The 14,980-nt window shown below is 38.1% G+C and overlaps 1 protein-coding gene across 2 annotated transcripts, besides 3 other annotated features; it reads right to left on the reverse strand.

Annotated features, from left to right (window-relative positions):
* Nucleotides 569–1,445: an enhancer, noted in NCBI's record as "OCT4-NANOG-H3K27ac hESC enhancer chr14:84426888-84427764 (GRCh37/hg19 assembly coordinates)". NCBI's record gives its function as "activates a minimal SCP1, AML or CMV promoter by ChIP-STARR-seq in naive and primed H9 embryonic stem cells {active_cell/tissue: H9 hESC(naive and primed)}" and the evidence as "EXISTENCE:reporter gene assay evidence [ECO:0000049][PMID:30033119]".
* Nucleotides 1,446–2,322: an enhancer, noted in NCBI's record as "NANOG-H3K27ac hESC enhancer chr14:84427765-84428641 (GRCh37/hg19 assembly coordinates)". NCBI's record gives its function as "activates a minimal SCP1, AML or CMV promoter by ChIP-STARR-seq in naive H9 embryonic stem cells {active_cell/tissue: H9 hESC(naive)}" and the evidence as "EXISTENCE:reporter gene assay evidence [ECO:0000049][PMID:30033119]".
* Nucleotides 3,397–14,928, reverse strand: LOC124903401 (uncharacterized). Of its 2 annotated transcripts, XM_047432045.1 has the most exons (4): nucleotides 14,759–14,928; nucleotides 11,406–11,508; nucleotides 4,796–4,845; nucleotides 3,397–3,471 (listed from the first exon to the last, which is right to left on the reverse strand). In XM_047432045.1, the coding sequence occupies exons 1-4, from the start codon at nucleotides 14,855–14,857 to the stop codon at nucleotides 3,415–3,417; spliced, it is 309 nt and encodes a 102-aa protein (XP_047288001.1). In that variant the 5' UTR covers nucleotides 14,858–14,928; the 3' UTR covers nucleotides 3,397–3,414. The 2 variants fall into 2 exon arrangements, 1 of the variants encoding a protein (XP_047288001.1); XR_007064377.1 differs by lacking the exon at nucleotides 11,406–11,508.
* Nucleotides 4,086–5,285: an enhancer, noted in NCBI's record as "CDK7 strongly-dependent group 2 enhancer chr14:84430405-84431604 (GRCh37/hg19 assembly coordinates)". NCBI's record gives its function as "activates an origin of replication core promoter dependent on BRD2, BRD4, P300/CBP, MED14 and CDK7 cofactors, with strong dependence on CDK7, by STARR-seq in HCT116 cells {active_cell/tissue: HCT116}" and the evidence as "EXISTENCE:reporter gene assay evidence [ECO:0000049][PMID:35650434]".
* Nucleotides 14,929–14,980: the final 52 nt, after the last annotated feature.

Below are 14,980 nucleotides of genomic sequence, written 5' to 3' on the forward strand. Positions count from 1 at the left end.
AGTCTCTCTCCCTCATTGCAAGACCCCATTGCAGTAGTTCCTATACCTCTCACAATAGTCCTGAACAAAGTTTTTCTTACCATGATTTAACAATTATCATTGAATAATCTTTCTTTAACAGTTCAAGCACAAGTTACAGTGTTATTGATGAGTTCAATGATAATAAATCAACCATATGTATTGAATAAGGTGCCAATACAAATAAACACACATAAAACAAAGTTATGTATTGATTGCTTGATGAAAATATGATCAGAGGCTTACAGGAACCTAACCTTCCATTTTCTTTAGAAACAATGTTCAATATTTATTCATATATGTGTCCGTGTGTGGGTATATAATTAACCTGCATTCCATCTGTTTTTAACTATTTTTTTCACTTTTCTTGCTTTTTAACTCATTTTTGCTTTTTAATTGATTTAGTTCATTGTTTGATTCAGAGAAAAACTCTTCTGTAAATTTTACTTTACTTTATATATAAGAAACCTGTCCCTATCTTATGAACTAATACATATGTTCCCATATTTTCTTATGGTTGAATGATTTATTTTTTCATTCGACTCTAGTACATCTGGATTTCATTTTTTTTAGTGTAAGGTACATAGCACTGTTGTTTAAGAAATGTGCTCTGTAATTAAAATGTTTCCTTTTGTTTCACATACCAAAGGCAAATAAAACTAATACACCAGGGTCCTGTCACACATTTTACTTCTTTTGAAGGTATCTCTTTGTTAGTTAAATACATCATGATTGGTAAAATACGGTTTCCAACCTCTCACTTTGCTGAAATGTTTAATTTGGGAGTAAACATCAACTTTAAAGCAACCAGGTAAAATATTTTAGTTTTAGTTTATTGTTTGTGTGGAAATATTTAAATTGTTATTTGTTTTGCTTGGGGCATTTTGTTTATTATTTCACAGTACGGCAAATTCCAAAGGCATCCTTTGCATTTCAATGAGTAGAGTAAGTCCTCAACAGCTGACTGTAGGCTTTTTGCCTCTTTGATTCTTGGAATGTGACACCATTCGACTGCCCTAGACATCAAAGTATCCCTGGCAGGCATGGCAGGAATTGACATTGGCTGCACTCCTTGGGTCTAGCTACAGAGCATGGGCAAGAATCATCTCTACTCATATGCTTAGTGCAGGGATCACTGCATCAAAATTCTGAGTCTGTTGTTTGAAATAAACAACTTAATCCACTTAATCCTGCTTCCCTACTGAGTCTTTCCTTTGAAACACCAAAGACAAAACTAAAAAGTACTTGAGAAACTTCTTTGAGACTTGCTACCTATGCTCAAAAGCCAAAGGAACAAGGTAGTCTCCTTTCAAATGTATATGTCAACTTGTACTTGGCATTCACTGTAAACAATTCTGTGTGCCAAGAACCAGCATGAGGAGAACAGCAAGAACATCAGAATACATGCTCTGCAGGACATGAAGGTCTTTCTGCAGCACACAATATTGTCAATATCTATCTAGGAATCTTCTGCACTATGAAGTATTCTTAATTCAGTAAGTGTTATGCTTATGGCTATAAAATACAATCTTCTTAGTGTTTATAATTTTTTTAACAAGAAGGACAAAAAGGATAAATGTGTCTTTGTCAGGCCTCTGAGACAAAGCTAAGCCATCATATCCCCTGTGACCTGCACGTACACATCCACATGGCCGGTTCCTGCCTTAACTGATGACATTCCACCACAAAAGAAGTGAAAATGGCCTGTTCCTGCCTTAACTGATGACATTACCTTGTGAAATCCCTTTTCCTGGCTCATCCTGGCTCAAAAGCTCCCCAACTGAGCACCTTTTGACCCCCACCACTGCCTGCCAGAGAACAACCCCCTTTGACTGTAATTTTCCTTTACCTACCCAAATCCTATAAAACGGCCCCACCCCATCTCCCTTCACTGACTCTCTTTTCGGCCTCAGCCCGCCTGCACCCAGGTGAAATAAACAGCCTTGTTGCTCACACAAAGTCTGTTTGGCTGTTTGGTGGTCTCTTCACACGGACGCGCACAAAGTCTTATCTTATATTTCTAAACTATATTGGACAACAAATTCCAAATAGGAACTTCCGACTTTAGGCATGCACGGAAAAAATTTCTAGTACCAAATCTATATTTCTCAGAAAAAAAATTCACCAGATATGTAGACTAGAGTATCAACAACAGATAGTTTAACAAGATAGCTAGTAAAGTATTGATAAGGCTCCGATAAGTGGAAAAACACCGGGTTCTTCGTCTCGAGTTGAATTGGAGAAAATGACACGGACACATGTGGAGCAGAGAGTTTAATAGGCAAGAAAGAAGGGGGAAAGAAGAAGCTCCCCTGTGCACAGACAGAGGGAGGGGCCTCCAAAGCAGAAAGAGGGAACCCCACTTTCAGGTAATATCAGCCAGCTATATTTGATGGCTGGAGGAGGCGGTGTCTGATTTGCATAGGGCTCAGGGGATTGGTTTGACTAGGGATGTTATTCACGTAGCCCCCGAAAAAACTGGCCCTTCCACCCTAGCCTTTTAATACTCAAATGCAGGGCGCCATGATGTTCCACACACGTAGGGATATGTGGGGGTGGCCATGCTGCCAGGCACATGTGGGGGCAAGGGCGAGAGGACAATGGTGGGAATCACCATGTTGGGTGGACCAGTTTCTTATGGCTGGCATTTGCATATCAAAGGTGGCCAGCAGGGTCTAAGAGCCAGAACTTTCGTGCTAGACAAGAGCTGCAAAAAAAAAAAATCTTCCAAGGACCCCTTTTTTTCCTCTCTATCTGCCTAAAATAATTTCTTAATAACTACTACCACAGTGTCTGTAAGAATCTATCTGCTATCTTTGAAGACTCTTAAGCCAATTGCCACAACTTGGATAAGAAATGGATTTAAATTTGGTTTTCTTTATTTGTTTAAACTGGGGTTATCTCCACAGATTTCTTTCTGGGCAACATGATTTAGATTCTTTCTCCCTAAAACTGTCAGACTAGTATTACTGAACACCACATTCTCCATGTTATTTGACTACTCAAAAAATCTCTGACAGACACCAATTTCCTAGTGCGTCGATTCTGAAGTACTCTGGTTTTATGTCCCATGCATCATAACACAGATGTTATTATGATATTTTACTTAATGTCTTAGTGAGTTTGGGTTGCAATAACAGGATATCATAGACTGGGTGGCTTATAAACAAAGAAATGTATTTCTTACAAGTAGATTTATTAGTGCTGAAAGCTATGAGGAACAAGCTGTCACATTCAGTATCTGGTATGTACTGACTTCTGGTTCAGAGAGCCTGCACCCAATGTCCTCACATGGTAGAAGGGATAAATGAGGTCTCTGGGGTCACTTTTGTAAGGACATTTATTCCAGTCATGAGGGAGACTTACCTACAAAAGGCCCCACCTCCAAATACCGTCTTATTGGTGTCTTGGTCTGTTCAGGCTACCATAACAAAATACCTCAGACTGAGTGACCTATAAACACCAGAAATTCATGGGTCACAGTTCTGGTAGCTGGAAAGGTCAAGCTCAAGATGTCAGCTGATTTGGTGATGATGCCTCCTAGCTGTGTTATCACATAATGGGAAGAAATAAACAGGCTCCCTCAGGCCTCTTTTATATGGGATCAAATCTCTTTCATAAGCACTCTGTCTACACAATTTAATCACTTCCCCCAAAGCCCCAACTCTTAATACTATCGCATTGAAGATTCGTTTTCAATATGAATTTTGGGTGAAGGACACAAACATTCAGATCATAGCAATTGGGGATTATGTTTCAACATATGAATTTTAGGGGGACACAAACATTCCAATTTATAGCCTCTGATCTAATTTTCTATACCCTCAAGACTATGTCGTATCCTTTAGTTTTCTTTCTATTTCTATCTACCTGCTGTACTCATTTAGTTGTTCTTATCTGTGGTAATCTGAATTACCATCATTAATCTGTGTTATATCTTAAATTTTCTATACTTATCTACCTTTCACATTCTAATAGATTTACAATTTAGCAATTGTTATGGGGATTAGGTTTGTTGTCCCAAATAACTTGCAAGTCCTCTGAAGGTATGAATTACGTATTATTATTTCCTGTTTCTAAGACACGTTGAACAAGACAACTTGCATTTAAGAAAGTAAAGAACAGGGGATGATGATGGTGATAAAAATTGACAAAGACATTTTACTTTTACTATTAGATAATGATGAGTAACAAAAATGTTTGTGGAAATGGCTTTTTAAACTTCAATTTTGATGTTTTAAAATTTTAATTTACTATGTACTCATCAAAAAAACTTTGAATACAATTAGAAAAAGGGGTAAAATGCTTAACAAAGATTATGTGGGTGAGATGATTTACAGGATATTTTATTTTATTCCCTCTCAATTCATTGTGTTAAATGTGAATTCTAAACTTCTCTTCAAAGAATTAATATGTCAGTATGTTCAATTCTTTGTCTTCTAGTTTTAAACTTAACTTCCTCGTAAAGCAACCCTTTTCGATTACCTACTCCACCCTGACTCATTCCAATCACCTGCTCCACCCTAATTCATTCCGATCACTTGCTTCACTCTAACTCATTCTGATTAACTGCTCTGCCCTGACTCATTCTCCACCCTGCATAACCATTTTTTTCCCGCCAAAGCACTCACCCCGGCACTCTCTTTAAATTAGCCAACCAGGATTAGTTTAGCCTGTGCGGTCTAACCCTGGCCAATAGGGGAACGACACAGCTGCAGGGGACACGTGCGTCAGGGATAAGAACCCCTTTCCCTCCCTTGTCCAGGTGTGTGCTCACCATTGCTCCATCCGTGAGGTCGCACCCTTCCGTAGAAGTACCTTGCCTTGCTGAGAATTAAAAAAAAAAAAAAAAAAAATTTATTCGAGTGCTATTTCTTTTGCAGCACCGAAACTTTATATATAACAATGTGTTGCTGTTTTCTTTGATAAAAATGAATGAATATTTAGCAAATAAGTGAGATTACTTCAAGAATCTAATGTTAAATATATAAGCCTTTGTGCACTTGGTTGCAGCAGTGGACTATAGGATTAAAAAAAAAAAGAGATGGACTGAGAGGATTTGAGCAGGGCAGAAGATGTGTCTAACCTTGTACCATTTGAAACCATTTGTGATCTCTCTTAAGCCCAGTCTTTCACAGAGCCTTCCAGTTGATGACTGGCTTTTTCCACCAGGAAAAGAATGAAGACAGTAGGGTTAATGGAAGAAGCTTGTACTCCAGCTATAACTGGCTTGAAGCCACAATTGATATCCATACTCTCACTCCTCCATTGGCCACCACTTAACCACTGGGGTCATCTCAGAATTTCATCATCAGGTATTACAAGCCTTCAGTTGCTTTGCTGTTGTCAGGCTGTGGCTACTGTAATTGATTACTTAGTTATTACTGGGCAGTGAAGCAACCATAGATACATACTAAATCTCATGACTTCCAATGAAGTCCTTTCAGCTACTATAAATTCTTGCAGTAACAGGAGTCTTCACCCTTTTCTGTCTCCCTGTCATTGTACTGGCATGAGGAGACCCAAATCACCACATGGTGATCTACCTACAATTTCAGTGGAATCCTTGCTGTGTTACTTCTTGGAAATGTTTTCTGTAAGGAACCAGGATCAATAATCCAGTTGATTCAAAAGTCATGGGCATCAATAGCATATATTCTGGTAATGAAACACTAAGAGTGTTGATAAGAATGTCCAATCCTACTTCCTAACTATTCAGGGAATTGTCCTGGAGCTGCAAATGATCTCTTCTTCTTTGTATCATTTAATTAGGCTTCATGCTTCTGGATGATACAGTATATAATAGTATCAGTGGGTCTCAGGGTAAAGTGAAGTTTGTTATATCTCTTTTGCTATAAAAGGGTCACACGATCTGAGAAAATTATGTGTGTAATCCAGTTGTAGCAAATCAGAAATGTTGTAAGTTGTTAGGGTGTGGTACTGGCACATGTACATATGGGTATTCATTCTGGGAAGGACAAGTTACTGTCTTCTGGATAGATGGTGTCCAGTATAATCAACCTGCCATTAAGTGGACAGTCAGATTATTTTAGCAATGCTGCCTTATCAGTGAACAGCTTTGGATTTTGTTGCTGACAGACCAGGGATTCACCAGAGGTAGTAGCTTAGCCAACCTTAATGACAGGGAATCCATGCTTTGGGCTGATAAATATCTATCCTTCTCATCATAGCTATTTAATTTCTGGCCTTATGGACTAGGCTGTACAGTACCAAGGAGAAACACTGGCTGACCTCCTCTGAAAGAACCATCCTGTCTGGTTGACTTTTGAGTGTACCTCTGTTCTAGATACGTCTTGAATGTTATTAATACAAAGACCAAAGATTTACACATTCTTCCAACCCCCATATGCCCCTCTACGTTCCCCTTCCCAAAGCTTCCTTACTTACCTCTGATCCGTGAAATTTGTTTCTTCCAGACCTCTAAATAAAGCCAATCATTTTACCACTGATTGTGATTCTGTGTATATCCATACCTCAAGTCACTTCTACATTTCTCCACAGTGCATACAACTAAGTATATTGTTTAGAATTTAGCCAAATGAGAAGCTCCTCCTTCTTCATTGTCCATAAAATAAAGGCCCCAGGGATAAAGAGTGACAGAATATCCAAATAATGGCAAGGTAGCTAGTATGGTGGAAGCCCAGATGGAAAAGAAGTGGAAAATATGTCCTGAGAGGTGATATGTCCCCACAACACATACAACCTGAAATATTATAAGCATTTTAAGCATCATTAATGATTGTACAGTGATTTATTTATAATACCATTTTCATCCCCTTTTATGCCTCAGGTGTTTAGGATTCTTCCTTCTCATTATTTCTTCCTTTCCTTTTTCCCCTTTCTTTCTTTTCCCTCTCCCCTCTTCCTCCTTCCTTCCTTCCTTTCTCTTTCTTTCTTTTCTTTCTTTCTCTCTCTCTCTCCTTCCTTCCTTCTTTCTTTTTTTCTTTCTTTTCCTCCCTCCCTTTCCCCTTCTTTCCTTCCTCCCTCCCTTCCTTCTTCTCTTTCTTCTTGCCTATTTTTTATTTGAAATGTCTTTATTAAGCCTGATATTTATACACAGTGAATAAGAATACTAAATACTTTCTGAACTGACCATTGTGTTGGCTGCTGTAAGAATTAAAAGCAATACTAAGTCACACTACTGGAATAAACTAGACTATTCTAAGTATCACAAGCATCTGTAGCTAGGAGAGCCTATATAAATATCTTAGGCATCACCTTCTCCATTATCTCATTCAATGCAAAAATCTCAGATGAATAGCCAACTTCTTCAAAATATTTAACAATAAGGACCTTACTGCTTTATTAAATTACTATTTTCTGCTTGTATATCTTCTTTTGAGAAATGTCTGTTCATGTCCTTTGCCCACATTTTAATGGGGTTATTTGCATTTTGCTTGTTGAATTGTTTAAGTTCCTTACAGATTTTGGATAATAGCTGTCTGTTTGATACATAGTTTGTGAATATTTTCTCTCATTCTGTAAGATATTTGTTAATAGTTCCTTTTGCTCTGCAGAAGCTCTTTAGTTTAATTAGGTCCGACTTGCTAATTTTTAAAAAGACACATGCATTTGTATGTTTATTGCAACATGATTCACAGTAGCAAAGTCACGGAATCAATCTAGGTACTCATCAATGGTAGATTGGATAAAGAAAATGTAGTACATATACACCATGGAATGTTATGCAGCCATTAAAAAGAACAAAATAATTTCCTTTCCAGTAACATGGATGCAGCTGGAGGTCATTATCTTAATAAATTAAAGCAGAAATAGAAAACCAAATACTGTATGTTCTTACTTACAAGCAGAAATTCAACATTAGGTACACATGGAGATAAGCATGGAAAAATAAACACTGGGGATTAGTGGACGGGGGAGAGAAAGAGGAGGGCAAAGGCTGAAAACTACCTATTGGGTACTATACTTACTACCTGGGTGTTGGAACCATCCATATCCCAACCCTCAATATCATGCAATATACTCATGTAAAAAATCTGAACATGTATTCCCTGAATCTAAGATAAAAGTTGGAATTATTTTTTAAAAAAAGAAAAATACTATTTTATTGCATTAATTTTTTTTCATTAATTTTTTTTTCATTTTAGAGTAGCTTTAGTTTCTCTAATCTTCTTATTCTGACTTGAGATCCACATTCTTGAACTTTTCATTCACTAGTACTATTTATGTCCTCTGGAAGAAAAACAAAAACAAACAAAAAAATTATTCCAAAGTCATTTGATCCCTCAGATATTTCCTTATCTCTTTCATTCTGTTTGAATTAAGAAATACACTACCTTGCTGGAACCCGGGAGGCGGAGCTTGCAGTGAGCCGAGATCACGCCACTGCACTCCAGCTTGGAGTGAGAAAAGTTAACAAGTTTATTTTCTGCAAGATTTCTTGTACTTTATGATAGAATGCATACTAAGGTCTTAAGGAGCTAGAGTTCTCCAAAACACAGTTTGGAAAACATTTGGAAAGTAAAGAATACTTCTTAGCTTTTTACTTTTCTAACTCCAGGTCTAACTCCTGAACAAAAGTCCAGAAGTGTATTACCCACTGCTTATTAGACATCTCTTAACAGATGGGACGTGTTCACCATTTACCTTCAGTGCGTAACAAAGTGCCTGGTACATAGTTGCTAGTTATATTTTGAATAATATAATAAATCTCTGAAGTCAGGAAAGTATGTGTTGGTCTCTTTCATCTTCTTTAAAAACCAAGTTTGAAAAACCAGAGTTTAGTAGACACAATGGAACATTTGGCTTAGAAGAAAATTAATAAACTTATACATTTAATTTATTTTTCTTAAAAAAGAAATAGAAGCTGAAAATTCTAATGGACTTACGTTAAGTGTGTAATCATATGGGGCCAGTTGTTTGGCCTAGGTTTGACCTAGTAGGTCTCTAGCTCCTTGAGACCTTACTATGCATTCTATCATAAAGTACAAGAAATCTTGCAGAAAAAAAACTTGTTAACTTTGTTAACACAGTATTGGCCAAATTATTTACTATGGAACCTCTTATCACAGAAGACCTGACAATATCTCATAATATTGATTTTCCAGAAAACAGAATTTAAGACTCTGACTTATTTGCACAACATTCCCTGGAATGTCAACGATACCAATCTACTCATGAATGGCCAAGTATTTTATATAAGGATGATATAAACAGCAAATAATATGACCATTACAAGCCTTTGGGATTACTAGCAGTATACAAAGATGATCCTTGCCATCAGCCAACCTTACCCTAAGTTTTCTGAAGGGTCTGACATTTTATCTGTAGAGATAAATGGTAATGACATGTTTCCTTAAGACTTTTCTAGCAAAAACTGGAAAGGCAATACATGTTGTCCATTTTTGCAAGTGAATATTTTCCTGTGCATCACATAAATAGCCAAAGGAAAAAGAAAAAAAAAATCAATGTGGCCTATGCAAATTTAAAGGGCATCTGGATGTGTGTGGATATGTCTAGGTTTATTTGCATGATCTCTCTTTATTTTTCCTGCTTTCTCTGACCCCTTCAGACAAAACATGCGCCAATCTTTGAGTTGTCAGGATAAATCTCTTATGGCTATCACCTTGTTTGTAAAACTTGGAGATCTGAAGAAAACACTGTCAAGTGATGATGAAAAAAAATGCATTCTTCTCTTCTGACCCTGCCAGGCTTGTGAGCACAATGGTTGGAGAAGAAAAAAGTCAAGGCAGCAGCTGCCAGGCAACGTCTGCTGTGAGCAGGGGACCTTTTCTGGATTGCTAACAACAAGGATCATGCAAAGGCGTGGGAGCTTTTTATGGCCACTGTTCTTTCTCTGGCTTTTATAAAAATGTGTTTTACAGGTGAATCAGTGCTTATAAAGTGGGAAAGAAGGTATGAGGAGGAGCTGGCATGGAATACTTCGGCAGTGTTCAAAGAAAAATAAAGAAAACAAATGAGAGACGAATGCCTTTTCCTTACAGGCCAAGGAGAAAAAAACCCAAAATCAATGCCATTGGCCAACTCTCCCTGCTGGGAACAATTAGGTCAGGCTGCAGAGAAAATGAAACATTGTAATTTAAAATTGTATAATTCTTAATATTTTACGGAATTGGGCACGAATCAGGTGCCTCCTCCAGCATGTGGCTGCCACGTGCCTGGATTTTGAACAGGAATGTTGCACCTTTGGATGCAAGAAGACAGGTGGGCTCTGCTTCCTCCCTCCTGCTGGTTCTAGGTAAGTGCTTATTGGCCTCAAACTGATTTGGCCACCGGCAGCATGTGAAGCTGGATCACAAGAATGAGGGAGCTCAGATACAGTGGCGAACTCTTTGCTTCCCCCCAAATATCAAACTGAAATGAAAAACAGAGGACATGGCATTAAAAAAACATGTATATTGAGGTGAGACTCAGCCCTCAGCCAAATAGAGAAACAGGGACAGATATGAAGATTTCTCATTTCTCTAGAGGAGCGTCTACATGTGGACAATTGGGGAAATGAGACAGAGTCTCGCTCTGTCGCCCAGGCTGGAGTGCAGTGGCGCGATCTGGGCTTACTGCAAGCTCCTCCTCCCGGGTTCACGCCATTCTCCTGCCTCAGCCTCCCGAGTAGCTGGGACTACAGGCGCCCGCCACCAAGCCCGGCTAATTTTTCGTATTTTTAGTAGAGATGGGGTTTCACCGTGTTAGCCAGGATGGTCTCGATCTCCTGACCTTGTGATCCGCCTGCCTCGGCCTCCCAAAGTGCTAGGATTACAGGCGTGAGCCAGCGCGCCCGGCCAAAAATATTTTCAAAAATTCACTCCAATGCCCAATCCTTCCCCACCTCACCAGTCTTCTTTCTCCTAGCAAATTAAAGAATTGAAATTTCCTGTACAACTCTGACTTTGCAATGCTGTTTATCTCTCTTACATTGTTTTCTACTTTGTTCTTGTTTTCACTGAAAGATAGCACCCAGAATTGAATGTGGCACTCAAGGAATGGTCTGAAATGGTCTTCTCTCCCATGATTGCTTGCTGAATACTCTACTTTTCGATAGCCTCTATATGTTTCCGGTTAGTATTAACCCTTCTATTTCTCGACAGGAATGCATGTCTTTTGCAAATCTTGTGAAATTTCGTTGCAAATACAGTTGACCCTTAAATAACGTGGAGGGTAGCTGTGCTGATCTCTTACACAGTCAAAAAAACCGTGTATAAATTTTGACTTCCCAAAAACTTAATTATTAATAGCCTACAGTTTACCAGAAGCCTTATCAATAACATAAACAATCCATTAATGCATAGTTTATATGTTATTTGTATAATTTGTTGTATTCTTACAATAAAGTAAGCTGGGGGAAAAAGGTTATTAGGAAAATTATAAGGAAGAGAAAATATATTTACCTTTCATTAAGTGGATGTGGATCATCACAAATGTCTTCATCATCGATTTCAGGTTAAGTAGGTTGAAAAGAAGGAGGAAGGGGAGGGGTTGGTCTTGCTGTGTCTCGGGTGACAGAGGCAGAAGAAAATCCATGTATAAGTGGACTAGACAGTTCTAATCTGTATTGTTCAAAGGTCAACTGTACTTTTAATGAATCTGAAATTTCTAGAGGACTGAGACTGTACTTCACTCATATTTATTCAGTTTCTTTCACAGTGCCTGGCACATTTTAGATACTCAGTATGTGTTGATTAAATCACAAATTTTACACCCCTTTTGAAAACATGTTCTTGTGTCCCCAGTCACTGAAGAATAAAAGCCATTGTCTTTGAAGTAGACTTGTATCAGATTCTGTGCATTCCAAGCCCGTATCCTTTCAAGCCACCTATGGCATTTTTCCACTGTCTTCCTGCAAGGGTTCTTTTGTCACAGGAAAGGAGGGAAATGGACAAGTGGAGGGGACAGGTGCTCTTAAGCAATAAGTAGCTAGAGTTCAAGGAGAAATACCCTGGTTTTCTCCACCGTTCATGCAGTCATTTGGAGGTTTCTTGTCTACAGTCATTTAGAAGGTTTCCACTGGGATTGAGCCCAGATACCCACAGGAGTAATCTGTTCATAAAAACACACTTTATTGAGCTGCATTATTTTCTGTCTCATTTTTCTATTGCCCGATTGTACTTCCTATGATCCCTTTTATATCAGTTAGGATTCAACCAAAGAAACAGAACCAGTAGCAGTACAATATAGGAAGATATTTATTATAAGAAATCGAATTTACAAATGCATGAGCTGGCTAAAAAGTTGATATCATGGGGTGGGCATTCAGAAAAGGGATATCATAGGCAGGCTGGAGTCTCTGGGGACAGGCTAGCGCTGTTGTCTACAGGTGAGATTTATTCTCTCTGGGAAACCTCAGCCCTGCTTTTGAGGTTTTGCAACTGATTCAGTCAGCTCCACACAAATTATCCAGGACAGTGTTCCCTACACAAAGTCTACCGATTAGAAGTTTTAATTATATCTGCAAAATCTCTTTACAGCAACACCTAGGTTAGTGTTTGGTGATTAATTAGTCTTAGAATAATTGAAGACAGTAGTCTAGCCAAGTAGACACCTCAGGAAAGCCATTGCAAGTTCCCAAACTACTTGAGCTCATTTGTAGTCTCAAGGTCAGCTCTGAGAGAACTCAAACTAATACAAGATTCTTGGTAGTCCAATAACAATATACTTTTGTCATATTTGTTTTCCACCGTTGGTCATGCACAAATATTTGCCACTTAACGAACAAAAGTGCTGTCAACTGTTTCCCAATTTTCTTTTCCACTCTATTGAATATTTTTAGACCCTGGCACAATTTCCACTCACTGAAATATCATTCGTCATTTCACAGATGCCCACAGTGATATCCATTTGGGTGCATGCAAATATGCCAGCACTCTTCAAATTCTGGGCACACTTTATGATTGTATCTCTTACATATGGACCCTCTCTCCTTCACAAGTTTTGCTTTTTTTTTTTTTAATGTTATTATGAGTTGATTTGGCCAGAAGTGATAAGAGTACTATGGAGCCTTCTGGATGGAAGCTTGAAGAGCCATTGAGTGATTTGCCATTTTTCTTTTTATGTGTCTTGGTGATCAGGGAAGCACTGAAGCAAGGTTCCCACCTCCAGGTGAACCATATTGAACACATATTATGAATTGCAAAAGAAATAAACACAAAAACATACGCCTGTGTGTATGCACTTGCATGTGTGTTAAGCTACCGAAATTTTGGAATGGCTTGGTGGCCTACCCTAACCTACTCTAACTAGTGTACCTTATGATTCTCTCATCTGTTTAGTTACATTTGATGCTCTCTTTGCCTTTGTTCCTTGTAACAAAGAAGCTCTCTTTGCTCTTGGTAGCATCACTACATTTGTATTTAGGGTATGGCACTTATTATAGGCTACTTAAAAAGTCACCTCTACACATGTATCTATGAAATCACAATTTATGAAAATTAAAATGTTTCACTCAATTTTACTTTACAAGCCCAGTATCAAATAATGTCTTGAATATAGTAAATAGTTAACAAATTGTGGTTAAATTTATAAATTAAGATAGTCAAAAATTTCTAGAACTTCTTTGGTATGGCTATTCAGCTCTATATCAAAGCAAATATTTAATTCTATTTTTTTAATTGTCAAAATTTGTTTAGAACATCATAGTTTGTCTGAAGACTTGATGATTTTAAGTAAATTCTCTCATATTAAACTAACTGGAAATCATGACAACACTTAATTATAACCTATCGCTAGCCCAGTGGATTACCTGCAAAGAAATGAGAAGAAAAGGATTCCGGAAACTGGGAAATGTAACATTTCACAGTGTAAATTGTATTCTGCCCTTTGCCTTTCTAAGTAACATAATTGCATAATGATCTCACTTGCTCCAGAGAAGCACCCTGACATCTTTATTATATTTGCCTTTATCTGGCATGAGATCTTTTTCAGGCCAGCAATGTCTCTATTTAATACTTCAGTTAAATATACCCAATTAAACTCTATACTGACCTTTTTAAACTAGGCTGTTTCAACTGATTCCAAACCTGCGAGCATTATATGAGGTGATTTCTTTCCTGTCTCCCTATGGTTTGAGAAGTTTGAAAGTTAGACAATGCTTGCATAGAAAGAAACCTCAAGCTTACATCTTTACTTTGAGTTCAATATTGCTATGAAGGTCCCCATGGAGTTCTAACAAATAATTGTTGCTTAAAATTTTTAAAAATGAACAACAGCCATAGTTACTGACCAATTTTTTGTAAAGCAACATTATACACACAGTTATCCATATTGCCTGTTCACACCTGTTAGATGTTAAATCGTGTCCCCCAACCCAAACAAAAAGTTGAATTTCTAACCCCTAGTACCTTAGAATGTAATTGCAAGATTATTGAAGATGTAATTTGTTAAGATGAGATCATACTGGAATAGGGTGGGCCCCTAATTCTATCGCTGTCCTTCTGAGAAGATCACTGTATAAAGGCAGAAACACACAGGGAGAATGTCATGTGAGGACAGAAGCAGTATTGTAGTTATGCAGCTGCAAGCCAAGGGGTTCCACACACTGCCAGCAAACTACCAGAAGCTAGGAAGAGGTAAGGGGTAACACAGGTTTCAGATAAAGTATGGCCCTACCAACACTGCTGGGTTCCAACTTCTAGCCTCCAGAGCTGAGAGACAATAATTTCTGTTGTTTTGAGCCACTCAGTTTATGATGCTTCATTACAACAGCCCTAGGAAATAAATGCACTACTTATTCATCTAATGCACCCACCTTGAGATGGCGTGAATGAGAAAGAAGGCCCTGAAGATATCGTGGCTGCCTAATGCATAAGAGCTGAAATGGCAAAGATGGTGGTGGTGGTGTTTCCATCTGGTAAAGTATTAAGAATCGTCCTGTGGAAAAAAATAAACCGTGGACAACAGGGCTCTGTAGCAAGGAATTGGGGAGCCCTTAAGCCTATGGGATTTATTTACTTCTCAATAGTTATGTGAA

Source organism: Homo sapiens, chromosome 14, assembly GCF_000001405.40.
Source record: "Homo sapiens chromosome 14, GRCh38.p14 Primary Assembly".
NCBI classification, from domain to species: Eukaryota; Metazoa; Chordata; class Mammalia; order Primates; family Hominidae; genus Homo; species Homo sapiens.

Excerpts from the sequence above, each read along its gene's own strand:
- LOC124903401 (XM_047432045.1), bottom strand. The coding sequence starts at position 14,857 with ATGGAAACACCACCACCACCATCTTTGCCATTTCAGCTCTTATGCATT. Across the intron at positions 11,509-14,758 it reads CTCATTCACGCCATCTCAAG|ACACAGCAAGACCAACCCCT; the intron begins GTGGGTGCATTA and ends CTGTCACCCGAG. Across the intron at positions 3,472-4,795 it reads ACCTCACGGATGGAGCAATG|GTCACTCAGTCTGAGGTATT; the intron begins GTGAGCACACAC and ends TGGTGTTTATAG.